At 40.5% G+C, this 14176-nt stretch overlaps 1 protein-coding gene across 2 annotated transcripts in view, besides 4 other annotated features; it reads left to right on the top strand.

Moving 5' to 3' along the window:
- The window catches only part of ENTPD4 (ectonucleoside triphosphate diphosphohydrolase 4), a 28486-nt gene that overhangs the window by 3277 nt on the left and 11033 nt on the right, over positions 1-14176 (top strand). Inside the window, exons 2-8 of one of the 2 annotated variants that reach the window (NM_001128930.3) lie at positions 4374-4478; positions 5432-5629; positions 6486-6691; positions 9765-9915; positions 10418-10521; positions 12305-12364; positions 12648-12778. In NM_001128930.3, the coding sequence (NP_001122402.1) occupies positions 4471-4478; positions 5432-5629; positions 6486-6691; positions 9765-9915; positions 10418-10521; positions 12305-12364; positions 12648-12778 (858 nt within the window). In that variant the 5' untranslated portion in view covers positions 4374-4470. Of the gene's footprint in view, positions 1-4373; positions 4479-5431; positions 5630-6485; positions 6692-9764; positions 9916-10417; positions 10522-12304; positions 12365-12647; positions 12803-14176 lie in introns of both variants that reach the window. The other variant, NM_004901.5, reaches the window with a different exon arrangement.
- Positions 907-1613: an enhancer, noted in NCBI's record as "OCT4-NANOG-H3K27ac hESC enhancer chr8:23310271-23310977 (GRCh37/hg19 assembly coordinates)". NCBI's record gives its function as "activates a minimal SCP1, AML or CMV promoter by ChIP-STARR-seq in naive H9 embryonic stem cells {active_cell/tissue: H9 hESC(naive)}" and the evidence as "EXISTENCE:reporter gene assay evidence [ECO:0000049][PMID:30033119]".
- Positions 907-1735: a biological region, named in NCBI's record as "Sharpr-MPRA regulatory region 8456".
- Positions 1441-1735: a silencer, noted in NCBI's record as "tiled region #8456; K562 Repressive DNase unmatched - State 14:Gen5'". NCBI's record gives its function as "represses a minimal TATA promoter and a strong SV40 promoter by Sharpr-MPRA in K562 cells {active_cell/tissue: K562}" and the evidence as "EXISTENCE:reporter gene assay evidence [ECO:0000049][PMID:27701403]".
- Positions 3029-3736: an enhancer, noted in NCBI's record as "H3K27ac-H3K4me1 hESC enhancer chr8:23308148-23308855 (GRCh37/hg19 assembly coordinates)". NCBI's record gives its function as "activates a minimal SCP1, AML or CMV promoter by ChIP-STARR-seq in primed H9 embryonic stem cells {active_cell/tissue: H9 hESC(primed)}" and the evidence as "EXISTENCE:reporter gene assay evidence [ECO:0000049][PMID:30033119]".

Genomic DNA, 14176 nt, shown 5'->3' with positions numbered 1-14176 from the left:
TTTGCCTTTAACCATGACTTTAAGCTGTTAAATAAAACTGTCTTTTCTTTGGTTCTCAGTTCAGCTATCACACAACTATCACTGATGTTTTTTTTAAATGTTCAGATTGGAATTCCTGTGTCCTGATAGGCTTTTAAGATAGGCTTTCTCAATATATTCGGAAAAGTATTTGATCCTGGAAACAAGGTTTCATCCGTCAAAGGTAGCTTGTTAAAAATTGTTATTTCCTCTGATGATAAAATTAATATATGTCCTTTGAAAAATATAGGCAAGCCTAGGGAAGAAAATAAAGATGATACCTGATCTCATTGCCCAGAAATAACTAAGCACTGTTAATATTTTGGTTTCTTTCCTAACATTTTATCCCCCCATGCATGGGGACATTTTTTCACTTAATATATCATGAACTTGTTTTCATGTCAATAAATAGATCTATGTCATCACCTTTAATAGTCACATTGTATTCCATTGCATAAATGTACCCCACAGTGGACATTAGTAACAGTGTTTTGCTGTTCCACACAATACTATGATGACCATCCTATAGATTTTTTAGTGAATTTTCCTGATGACTTCCTAAAGATGAATTTCTGGAAGTGTGATGGGTAGAGCAGAGGATAGGCATGCATAAGTGTTCGTGTGTGTCACCCCAGTACCCCCAGAAGGTTAGTGATGTGCCTGTCCAGAGTCTCACAGCAGTACTCATCGACCTTTTCCCCTTCCCCTGTTAGCCAAGTATCACCAGGCCTTCATGTCTGTCAATATGATAGCTGTTTTTATTTCTATTTATCTGAATACTGATTATTTTATCAGCCATTTCAATGAGATTTATTTCAATAATCTCAAATTGTCTTTGCTCATTTTTCTGTTCAGTCTTTCTCTTATTTCTTTATAATAACTGGCTATGTAAAGGTTATTTACTCTTTGTCATGCACTTTACAAGTACTTTTCCCAAGTTGTGTGTATTCATAGCAGGGAGGGATTTTTTTGTTTGTTTTAAGCACACAGAAGTTTTAAACTTGTGTAGCTATTTTATAAAAACATTAAAATCCATTTAAACGTCTAGATCATTGATTTTTTTTTCTTTTTACTTTTTGTGTAAACTTTTAAATCACAGACATTGTTTGTCCTAAATTTGGGGTACATGGTACAATATGGACACCATATTAAAACTTGAACTAATTAAAGTGATTTTTTCCCCTTTGTCAGGTAGGCATTATTAATACTTTTTACTCTCTAATATCTTTGTGTGTATGTTTTATTTCCTCCACTGCCTTATAGATTCTTTAAGGTCTGGGCCTATATCTAATTCATCTTTGTGTCTCCCATTTCCAGCCATTTGTGAAACCTGCAATAGTTACTCATGATTTGTGTGGCAGGCACTGGTCACGGGGGAAACAGAAGAATAAGAGGCTGTCCCTGCCCTAGTGGGGCTTGTCATGTAATGAGGAAGCCAACCACACGTATAATACTTTAGCCCACTGCTGTGATAAGCAAATACTCTGGGGATATGAGGATTAGGGAAACTCACCGAGGACTCATGCTTGATTTGTGTCAGCATTGATTCTTAGGAATGCAACTGACAACACAAGGAAGAGGTTCATTCTGCTAATGCCAAGGAATGCGAGGCATTTCAGTGATCTGTAGCTTGTGTTTCATGTGGCTGGAGCCTAGGGTACGTAGGAGGGGTCTGTCAGGGAATGAGACAGAAAGATAGGCCCCAGATCAGTACTGTGCAAAGAGCTTTCTGCGATGATGTCAGTGTTTTATGTGTGGACTGGCTAATGCAGAAGCTATATGTGGCTATTAAGCACTTCAAAGGTGGCTAGTACAACTGAGGAACTCAATTTTTAATTTTATTTAAATTTAATTACTTTAAATAACCACACATGGCAAGTGGCTGCCTCATTGGACAGCACCGGACTAAATCATGAGGGACCTCTTTTACACCCTAAGGAGTTGACTGTTTCCTGAGTGAGAGAGAAAAGTTGGGGGATGGGGAGTTATGATTCCCTGTTTGTTTTGGAAATGTCACTCTAGTGTAGAGTTCTTAACCCTTTTGGGTCCCAGAACTCTAAAACTTGACTTCTTGCCAGTCCCTTTCCTAGGGTCTGCAAAGCTACAACTGCAGCACTCAACTGAGCAGACCAAAACCTGGGCCTGGGGGAGCTCCCATTCTGGGGGAAGAGACAAAAAAGAGAAACACAAGACACGCATTATGTTAGAGGACAAGGATGGGTGGATTCTCACACTTGCATCCCACCTCTCCCTCCCAGGAGCTGTGTGACCTTAGACAAGTTACTTAGCCTCTCTGCCTCATCCATAAAGTGTTGTGATAATAGTATCTGTCTTGTAAGTTGTTAGGGGAATGAAGTTAGTATTTGTACAATGTTTGGAACAAGGCCTGGTACATAATGAGCACTATAAAAGCATTTAATAAATAAATAAATGCTAAGGAGAAAAGATCAATCAGGGAAGGGAATTGCTGGGGAGGGGGTAGGCATTGCAGTTATTGATCAGGTGACCAGGGAAGTCCTCCTTGAGAAGGTGACATTATTTGAGTAAAGACCTGAAGGGAATGAAAAAGTGAGCCATACAGATTACTTCCTAGTAGAGGGGGCAACAAGTTGAGAGACCCTGAGACCAGAGAGTGCCTGGCATTTTTGAAGACCACTCGGAACATTGGTGTGGCTGGAATGCAGTGTAAAGGAGGAGAGAGCAGACGATGAGGTCAGAGCCTTAACAGGTGTTAGATCCTGTAGGGCTTTGTAGATTGGAGTCTTTGGAGGATTTCTGAGTACAGAAGTAATCTGATCGGGGTCCTGAGCAAGGGGTGGGAGTGTGGAGCTATCAATTTCCAAGAAAGTATCATTGCCCGAGGGTGATAAAGGCGAGGTCACTGGTTGAGACTGCCGGTAGAAGACTAGTTAGGCTGCTCTTTAGAGCAGGCAAGAGATAAGAGCCTGATCTCAGGCAAAGATGATAAGGAAAGGGATTTTAGATAAGCTGAGGTTAAAGAAATTAAAGGAATCTGTAAGAAATTACATTTGGGGCCAGGCACAGTGGCTCACGCCTGTAATCCCAGCACTTTGGGAGGCTGAGGCCGGCAGATCACCGGGTCAGGGGCTCGAGACCAGCCTGGCCAACGTGGCGAAACCCCGTCTCTACTAAAAGTACAAAAATTCACTGGGAGTGGTGACGGGCGCCTGTAGTCCCAGCTACTCGGGAGGCTGAGGCAGGAGAATCGCTTTAACCTGGGAGGAGGTTGCAGTGAGCTGAGATTGTGCCATTGCACTCCACCAGCCTGGGCGACAAGAGCAAGACTCTGTCTCAAAAAAAAAAAAAAAAGAAAAGAAAAAAAGAAATTACATTTGGAAGATGAAGGAAGAGGGATCACACGTGAATCTGGTTTCCGATTTGTGTAGCTTGGTGGGATCAAGATTGGGACTGCGGGGGCAGAGCAGATTAGGAGAAAAAGGGGAGAAGATTGCAGTTGTTAGGGGTGCAGTTTTAGAATTTTCTCATGGTTCTGTGCAACATTCAGATAGAGATGGCTCATAGGCTGTTGAAAAAGTGTAGAAGAGAAGCCTGGGGTGGAGAAAGAAAAATTTGAGTTACCTGATCATTGAAGCCTCAGTAATGATTGTAGTTAGAAGAGAATGAGGCTAGACAGAGAGCCTGGAAACATAAGAGTAGTCGGGGTTGGCAGAGAACAACGCTTAAAGGATCCTGAGCAGCAGTTATTCCAGAGCTCAGAAGCAGACCAGACGAGACAGCTGTCTTGAGAGGTCAAGCAGCTTTGTGAGACCGAGGAAAGATAGAGACCGCTTGTCCTTTGGCTTCAGCAGATTGGAAGGAGGCCCTGGCTAAAGGCATCTGTCTGCTCTGCAATTTGAGGCCTGGAGGCTGGAGGAGGAGTGATAATGGTGGAGTCGGAGAACTGACTAGGGACAAAGTGCCTTGCACAGTACTTTGTACATAAAAGGGCAGTCTAATAGACATTTATCAAGTGAATGGATATTTCAGGTTCACATTCAGCTTATTCTGCCTTTCTCCTACCTCCACCCCAAATCTCCCTTGTACCATAAGGTATTTAAGGCCTATTTGATATCCTGATATTTTGGGGTCACAGACACTTTAGGTTAGACAGCACTAACTAGTACCAGACGATTATCATCTCTTTTGATTTAGGTCTATATTGGACAGTATGAAATTAACTTAGAAGTGTGTTGCTCAGAATAAACCCTTCCAACAGCTTCAGTGCAAGGATCATGTATAGATTATATGTGGTTGGATTTAAGCACACACTTAAAGAACGTAGATGTTTTCTTTGATGATGCTATCTTTGTGATTTGTCTCACTTCCTGGAACAGGAGGGCTCTAACTCCGTGAGGACCCCAGCATTATTTCTATAATTGTTTGTGAGAAGGACTGAATCCCAGAGCATTGCCTTGTTGCTGACCTTTCAGTATGGGGAGGTAAGTGATGGGCCTAATCACCATGAAACATGAAATCTTGGTGATGCAAAAACAGGTCTTGAGAGAAAAAAAATCTAAATCGCAAGTGAAAAATGTGAAGTTGTGCTGTGCTTCTGTTTAAGACCTTTTTTCTTCCAGGGCCCAGTGAGGTATTTTAATGCATGAAGCACTCTTCAAGGTGAAGAGTAAAGAAATTAACTGTAAAATAATAGAATTTATCCCAAAGGCAGTGAAATTTTTTTAAATCCTAATCATATTTCTAGAATGAGCCTCTCATTCTTGACATAAACTGAGGGGAAAAGTTCTTGATTATTTGCAGAAATGTCTTGTGGGAATATTTCTAAAAGTACAGGACATAGAAAACTCATTTATTGACTTTGTTATGGGGATGTTGTTAAAATGCTGTTTTCTCCCATTACTCAAGTCATCTGGGAGAAATTTGCCTTGGACTTCAGTGTTGAGAAAATTTGTTCCTCCTGAGCTATTTGTATATTTCTGGTGTAATGGGCAATGAGCTCAGTCGTATTTGCAGCAGGCCCAGCTTACGACATGCCTTTCTCCATACTGCATTCCCGTTTGGTCTCATCATCCTTACACTCGATTTCATGATCGATTTATATATTTATGTTATTGAAGTTATTCTCGTAAGCAGTCTCTAATTCTGTATCTATGTTGGAGCAAAGCAGGGTAAAATTAAAAATCTACATAATACTGTCAAGAGAAGGGGAAAACCCAGAAGTGTCGTAACCTTCAGGGCCTGATTCTCATTCAGATGATTTTATGATAAGGGGTTTGTAGCTGTTGTGTAGCATATGCAAGATGCCAGTATACAGATACCTACAGTTAGGGAAATCCAGGTAGCTCAAGCCAAATATCTTATTTTAGGATCACTTTAGGTGAAGGAAGCCTCATTGGAGCAGATTGCTTTAAAATCTTTTTCCTTCTAATTTCAGGATTGGCATCTCCTGTCTTTTTCCTGCTTCTTGGCATTTTAGCATATCTCCAGTAGGGTGTCCTCGAATTCTGAATACCAATTTACGCCAAATTATGGTCATTAGTGTCCTGGCTGCTGCTGTTTCACTTTTATATTTTTCTGTTGTCATAATCCGAAATAAGTATGGGCGACTAACCAGAGACAAGAAATTTCAAAGGTAAGAGATAAAAACATTTGCTTTCTAGACCAGAAGCCTTACCTTCTGTCTTACCTGTTTTAGGCTGCTGGAACAGAATTCCATAGACTGGGTGGCTTATAAACAACAGCAATTTGTTTCTAACTGTTCTAGAGGTTGGGAAATCCACGATCAAGGTGCCATAGGTTTTGTGTGTGGTGAGGGCCTGATTCCTGGTTCTGAGATGAGGAGGTCTTCTTGCTGTTTCCTCACATGATGGAAAGGGGGTGAGGGGGCTCCCTGAAGTTTCTGCCCTCATGAACTAATCATCCCCCTGAGGCCCCACCTCCTAATAGCATCGCATTGGTGATTAGGTCTCCAACATACGAATTTTGGGGGGCCCCAGACATTCAGACCATAACACCATCATTTCATGGCTTCACGACGTTTGGCTTTAGATTGGAATTTAAGGAACTGTAGGAACTAGATTCTGTGCCATGTTCATCATGGCATGAACAGTTAAACCATTTGAAGCTAGTTAACTGCTAACTACCAAATCCATATCATAAGAGGTCCTGGAATAATTATTTATACATAAGCGTCTCGTGTAATATGTTTTAAGCTGATTTTTGAGTTGGTAGTTTAGAAATAGAATTTTGCATTTTGGAATTTGTTTGAACTTCTGTAATGGAGTGTGTGTCTGATTTAGATGATCTTTATCATCATCACTTGTTTTGTTTTCTTTTGACTCTTCAATTATTCAACAGTTGTATTGATGTTATAGTGGTGCTGCTACATAGCTTAGAAATTACTGACTTGGTATTTGCTGCATTTTCTCTGTTAGACTTCAGGTGATATTCTTTGTCTAAATCAAAGCATACGTGTGTTTCTATACAAGGTACCTGGCACGAGTTACCGACATTGAAGCTACAGACACCAATAACCCCAATGTGAACTATGGGATCGTGGTGGACTGTGGTAGCAGTGGGTCTCGAGTATTTGTTTACTGCTGGCCAAGGCATAATGGCAATCCACATGATCTGTTGGATATCAGGCAAATGAGGGATAAAAACCGAAAGCCAGTGGTCATGAAGATAAAACCGGGTATGTAAATGAGAACATCTGCCTGGTAACCAGGGTGTGTACCTTCATTCTCTGTGGCGTCTTTCATATCGTTCCCTTTCTACACCATGGCCCTGAGTCAAACCTCACACCAGGACCTGATGGGTCTCCTTGTTTCACTTTCTTTTCCCTTTTCTGTCCATTTTGCAAAGGGTGACTAACACCTTGATAAAACATCCAAACAGACATGTCTTTTTGTCTCCCATAGCATTTTAAATAGTGCCTTACTCATGGTATCTACGCAGATGTTGCTGGTTGGCATTAATTATGGAGAGTTTTTTCCTATTTAGTAACCATTGGTCTCTATCCTTAATGACAAGGTAATTTCAGATAACTCATGAAAATCTGTAATATATTGGCATATATTTGTCACTTTTAAAAATTGCTGGCCACATGTAGTTCTAGTCATCTAGATTATTTGGTGAGTGTGACCACAGAACTTAGAGCTAATCATAATTATGTATAGTTTTTAAAGATACTGTAATTTCTAAGCCAGTGTGACATGTAAAAGTTTAGGTTTGGCTTCCTTATTAGGTAATTTACATCAGTGATGCTCTTTTTTCTGTATCATCACCATTTCCATGGACAGCAGCTTCTGTCAGGAGCATTTAGAATGGGAGATACCGGGAGTGCCTTGAAACAAGTTTTATGTCTTGATAGTTGATCACTGATTTCAAACAGTTGACCACAGATCTTAATAGAGATGCAGCACTTTTATGTCATCTTACTAATGTATTAAAATAGTAAAATATCAAATGCAAACAATCCAAGAAATTTATCTGGTAAATTATTAGAGAATATTGATAAATAATAATTATTATAGCTTATTATCCCCATTTCAGAAATAAAATTTAAAAGAATATTCAGTTTAACATGAGAAAAATACATATCCTCATAGAAGAGTCTCCAACCATGTAGAATGGTGACCCCTCGAGTCCTCATTCTTTACGGAATAATTCAGACCCCACCTCCTCCTTCAGGCAGCCCTCAACAAGTTGATTATCCTTTGATGTATGGGCAGCTAGGAACCAGCATATTACTCAGAAAATCTAAAGTCTGTACCTCACTTTTCAGGTTAAAGAGAGACAACCTACTGTGTGTCTGTATACCAGCATTATTTTATCAGAGTACATTTCCATGAACAAAGATTAATTTTTTAGTGAGTGTCTTCTAAGTTTTAGTTTTATGTATTTCTACCCCTTAAATTTTTATGTATCCCTAACCTAGAAACATTTTCAGTTAAAGTAATATTGATCAAATAAAAAACTTACGAGAAGACTGAAAAAATAAAGCATTTTACATTTCATCTAGCTTCACGTACCAGGTCCCATCAGTGACTAAACAGATCTCATGGAATAAGATGAAAACTTCCATGCCTTGGAGTTGTCCTTTTAGAACAAAGGGTCAACTACATTATCATCCTAGAGTATACATTAGAATCTCATTAAAATCAGGCTTAACATTGGTCTGTCTTGCACTATACAAAGTGTATGAAATGGAAATCAAAATACCTTTTTATTGCACTACTCTGTCCTGAAGCATGGACTTCCGTGTATAACATTGCAGCAAGGCTCTAGAAATTTCTTAATAGGGTCTGGCTAGTTTAGGGCTTCGAGTGCATTGAAATTGAATTGTATGTGTTGTCAAAAACTTACAGTTTAGTCAATTTTTTGCTAATTCCTTTGATGAATCACTTAATCTTTTTGGGTTTGTAATTTTCTAATGTGTGAAATAAGGTATTTTTAGACTTCTAAAGCGCCCCTCATTTTTAATATTGTAGGCTAAATGACACCTAGAAATATTCATTTGTGTACTCATTCAGCAGATACATGCTGGGCACCTGCCATTTGCTAGGCACTGTGTTAGGTGCTATGAATATAAGTTTGAACAGACACATTTTGTGCCCTTGAGAAGCTTTTAGTTGTAATGAGACAGGCAAGTAAATAGGTAATTTTGATATGGTGTAATGAATGTACATCTAGCAAAAGGAAGTAAGCATGGAATTTAACAAGAGTTGTCTTCAGGGTTCTGTTAGGGTGACTTCCATGGAGGCTGGAGCCAAGTGGGTGTGCAGGAATTAACCAGGTGAAAAGGGGTAGGGAGGTGGATGGAGAAGACTCTTCTTGGTGGTGGAGGAGCAGGGCCCTAAGGCCACAGTAAGGTGCATTATGGAAATGTTAGTTCAGTGTAGCTGAAGGCAATGGAAGGAACATGGGAAGAGATAAGGGTGGGTGAGTTATGCAGAGCAGGGTGTTCTAGAGTTGAGCCTTACCTGGAGGACATTGAGCCACAAAAGAATTGGAAGCCTGAAGAGGCATCCTTTGGGTAGGGAATGGTGGGGAGATGGTCAGGATCAGAGGGTGGGATGTGCTGTGGCAGGCTGGCAGAGGGCGTGTCCAAAGGGATGAGGAGTAAAGTCATGTGAGAGGAACCAAGGAGAGGCGATCTATGAAACCCAGGTTGTGTGTTGGGATGAGGGAGAGGGACTTCATCTAAGACCCTGGCTTGGGCTGCTGGGTGCCCAGCGCTGATGGCCTCGGAGGGAGGTAACCAGCAGTGAGAGCAGGTTTGTAGTGAAAGTTGAGTTCAGATTTTGCCATGATGCATTGGGGGTGGCTGTGAGGACAAGCAAGGGCAGTGTCTGGTGGACAGTTACCCCACGCTCACCTGGAGGCTAATGAGTGCTGCATGGCTGGTGGCACAGTTCGGAGTTCATGGCATGCTGATGGTGATAGCAGCCTCAGGAGGGACTGAGCTCACCTGAGGAGAGGGGGAGCACGTTTCTCGAGGGCAGGCAAGAGCCCATGCGCATGGCAGTGACACACAGCAGATGCTCAGTCAGGTCTGTGTGCTTTGATGAAGAAGAAAAGGACATAGCACTGAATAGTGCCACCAACATTTAAGTAAGGTCTGCAGAAGAAGTTGCTAGAAGGATAGGAAAAACTAAGGAAGTGTAATGTGTAGCATGATTTCCCTAAAATTAGCCACTCTGAAGAAACATCACATGTTATAGCTAAAATATCTGCTTCTTAACTAAAGTATCCTGTTTCTCTAGGCATTTCAGAATTTGCTACCTCTCCAGAGAAAGTCAGTGATTACATTTCTCCACTTTTGAACTTTGCTGCAGAGCATGTGCCACGGGCAAAACACAAAGAGACACCTCTCTACATTCTCTGCACGGCTGGAATGAGAATCCTCCCCGAAAGGTGATCCTCCACAGAAGGGCAAGGGTGAGGGTGGGTTCCTGGAGGGGAGAGGGGGTGTTCTTCTCCCCCTTCCTCCTTCTCCTCTCCATCATCATCATCATCATTGAAAGGAAAATATTCAAAATTCTTTCTTCAAGTCTGTAACAGTACCAGAACTATTCCTTTAGCCAGAATCCACCAAATAGCCTTTAATTGACTTAGGACTATAGGCAACGGTAAAGGTGTCATTTTTAAAAACCTAATCTATTTTACGTAGTTAAGGAATGCTTGCAGTTGTAGTTTTACATCTAGAAATCACATAATTCACACAACTTGTTCATTTTGAAAATTCATTCCTAATATAATCTTTCCAACGAATTTCTTTTTTAAAAAAATTAACTGTTTCATACAAGATATACCAGATCCCTGGTTTTGTTTTTTGTTTGTTTATTTTTTTCCTTTTCTAAACAGAAGATACCAAGCTGTAATCTTTTGATTTGTAAATGTTTTTATTACTTTACAGCCAGCAGAAAGCTATTCTGGAAGACCTTCTGACCGATATCCCCGTGCACTTTGACTTTCTGTTTTCTGACTCTCATGCAGAAGTAATTTCTGGGAAACAAGAAGGTTGGTATATTGGTCTTCAGTTTAAAATTTGGGAAGCTGTTCCTTTAAATCCTCCCCATTTTCACCAATGTACCCTTTGTTATACTCCTATTGTCTTAACATTTGGGAAATAATAGCCTTGAAATATTACAATTTTTAAATTACTAAATCAGTTTCTTATATGACTAGTCTTTGTTGCCCTAACATTAAGCCACTGAAAGATAACCGTTTGTCTTCACCACATGTAGTGACATAGCTTGATATAAACTCACTTTGATAGAAAAGGCTTGTGTGCCTTGCCTAAGTTGTGTGGCTTCCTGGGACGTTGATCATTATTGAGCTGTTGGAGCTTCTTCTCGACTTTGATACACTGAGAAATATCAAATCTTTGTTCTATTTTCAAAGAAATGATTCTCCTTGAGAATGAAATGTCAAGTCAATGAAATTATTTGGGGTATAGCTTGCTAGAAATGTATACCAAAAAGTATTTCAAAAGCCGTCTGTCATTTCAGCATTAATACTTCCTATGTGAAAGAGACTGTAGAGAATACAGAAATGGGGTGAAATTTACACATTGCTATTCAGCTGCTTACAGACAATTGAGCTACACAGTTAGCTGTTCTATGAGGGTTTTAGGTACCAGAAAAAAGATGAGGAAAAAATATCACAGGAGTTCTTAAGAGGGAGGCATTTTTTTTTTTCCAGCTAGGGCCATGATGGAGAAAGTGACATCTGAACTGCACCTCAAGGGAAGGGATAGTTCTAAATAGAACATGCCAGAGCATGGGAAGGGTGGGGCTCTGAGGGAGGGGCAGGAAGCACACACCAGGCAGAAGAAAGGACTTGACTCAGGACAGGTTGGAAAGAGGGCACTGTGGACAGAGAAACACAAATGTTTTAGTTTGACTGGGTGGTGGCCCTTCTGGAAGGAGTGGCGGGAATGTTAACAGTTGGCTGGCTCTTGAATTGTCAGTCCAGGAATTTGGACTTCTTTCTGTAGATGAGTCCAATAGCAGAGAGTAGAGCAGGTTGCAGCAGAGGAATAGGGGCAGGGATGGATTAGATGGACTACCCAAGGTGACAATGAAACCCAGGTGTAGGGAATGTGAAAATAGAATCAGACTTGGCAGCTGAGTGAATGGAGGGATAAAGGAAAGAGCAGAAGATACCTTGAATTTTTTTTTTTTTTGAGATGGAGTCTCGCTCTGTCACCAGGCTGGAGTGCAGTGGCACGATCTTGACTCACTGCAACCTCCACCTCCCGGGTTGAAGTGATTCTCCTGCCTCAGCTTCCCGAATAGCTGGGACTACAGGCGCCGCCACCATGCCCAACTAATTTTTGTATTTTTAGTAGAGACGGGGTTTCACCATGTTGGCCAGGATGGTCTCAATCTCTTGACCTCATGATCTGCCTGCCTCGGCCTCACAAAGTGCTGGGATTACAGGCATGAGCCATTGCACCCAGCTGATACCTTGAATTTTTAAAACCTTGGATTTGACAGGTTTAACATCATAAAAGTGAAAATTATAGTATTTTGAAACATAAATTTCAAAAGAAAACTGGCACCTAGCGTATTGTATTTCCAACCTGTGTAGATGGTATAAAACTATAAACATTAAAGTTGAGAGTTCTTGGAAAGCCATTTGGAGTAATAAAAACATCAGTAGCAAGGTGTTATTTCAGATGATTTTACAGGTTATCAGGGAGTGAAATAAGTGAGACGTTTGCACAGACTGCGCAGATAGGAGTTACACAAAATGTTTTAAAACTTTTTCTTCTCTTCACCCTGTAAAATGTCTATAGGTGTGTATGCTTGGATTGGCATTAATTTTGTCCTTGGACGATTTGAGCATATTGAAGATGGTAAGTGTCATGGTTCCAACAAATGTATCTAGTTGGAAATTGGTGCTTTTCTGTTTAATCCAAAGGCTGAAAAAAGAGCTAAGCTTTGTGACACTCCTAAGCGTGTAGGAGTAGAATGAGAGCAGCTGCAGTTGAACGTAATTCAACTTGATTTTAGTTGGGAGGAGTAGACTGGGTTTGCCTGAATATGCTTGAAATAGACCATGAAAAGAAGGTGACTCTTCAGAAGAGCCCAGTTCTCTGGATTAGTTCTGTTCCAGTGAACACTTTCTGTTCTTTCTAGATGATGAGGCCGTTGTGGAAGTTAACATTCCTGGAAGTGAAAGCAGCGAAGCCATTGTCCGTAAAAGGACAGCGGGCATTCTCGACATGGGCGGCGTGTCGACTCAGATAGCGTACGAAGTCCCCAAAACTGTAAGCTTTGCGTCCTCACAGCAGGTCATTATCTGTACAAATTTCCTTCTGTTTGGTTTGGTTTTCATTTAACGTGTGTCCATCGTTCTTGTTTTGTTTTCTGAGTCTGAACACATCTTTACTGTGCTGGCTGAGGTGCCGCCTCTCAACCCAGGAGAAAGGAGACAGGACGAACAAGGCAGACCTCAGCTGAGCCGCTTGTGTGTGTTCATTGAAATCAGCTGGTTTGTTTTCTGAACGTAGAGTTTTTCTTTGGTATATACGCAGTCGCATGCTTGAGTTTCAGTTTATATTTTCTCTTCAATCACGTCTTTTCTCAACAGGTTTTATGAAATGTAAAATAATAACATCTGATTTTTTAAGTTAGAATTGGGGGAAATTCTTTTTTTTAATGGTTCAGACTTTGAGCTTCCTTGGGGAAGATTGAGGTTTGTATCCACTGCTTCCACATCTTTCAACTGGTGGTTTACTCGAACTGTTCTCCACCCTGTTCTGTGCCCTCTCAGTTGCTGCCTGGGCAGCCTTGTCTAGAGAACCCCGGCACGGTTTCCAGATGTATTTCTGAATTGCTACACGTCTTTATTACTCCATTTGTGTTCAGCTGTAGATTAACACCAAAGCCTAGCTTTCTGGATTTTCCCCTCAAAGGTGGGCGGCAGCATAGCGTGGCCGGCGGGGGACGGTTCAAAGTGAGACCGTGGAGCTAGACAGGCCTGGGTTTCTTCATCATCCTCCTCCTCACTAGTTGTGTGACCTTGTGCAAGTCATGTACCTTCTTTAAGCTGGTTTCTTCATCTGTAAACGTGAACAAAAGTACCTACAACATGGGGTTATTAGAAGGTTTAAATGAGATAATGCATCCAGTATATCTAATGCACTGCCAGGCAGCTAGTATGTTCTCAATAAATGTTACTGACATCTTTATTAAGTTCCTTGGAAAAATGCTTTGTAAATTCAAGTATTACAATTTGTTTTTCCTACCTCCCATTCCAGACATGCCTCTAGAGACTGTTACACTCTTTGTAAAAAATCATGTTTTTCCCTCTCAATATAAAGTAAAAAATACATAGAAATAACGTTTGGAATAAATACTGAAAAATCAAGATTAAAAATTTCCCATGGATTCATCACCTAAAAAAGCCATTGTTAGCCTTTTAGTGAATTTCTTTTTTTTTCTACTCATAGTTTTAAAAAATATGGTTGTTATAATCTTAGTTTATATGATTTTTGTCCTTTATTTAACAGTGCATGAGCATGTTCCTCCATAAGCTATTGATTACTGTAACTAACCTTCCCTTGCTATTATATATTTAGATGACATCTAGTTTTTTCTGTCACAGAATGACAAAGGACATCTTTGCATATAGAAACATTTCCATGTTTAGGTGTATTTCCACA

This window comes from Homo sapiens, chromosome 8 (genome assembly GCF_000001405.40).
Source record: "Homo sapiens chromosome 8, GRCh38.p14 Primary Assembly".
Classification (NCBI taxonomy): Eukaryota; Metazoa; Chordata; class Mammalia; order Primates; family Hominidae; genus Homo; species Homo sapiens.
This window is presented reverse-complemented; position numbering and strand designations above follow the sequence as displayed.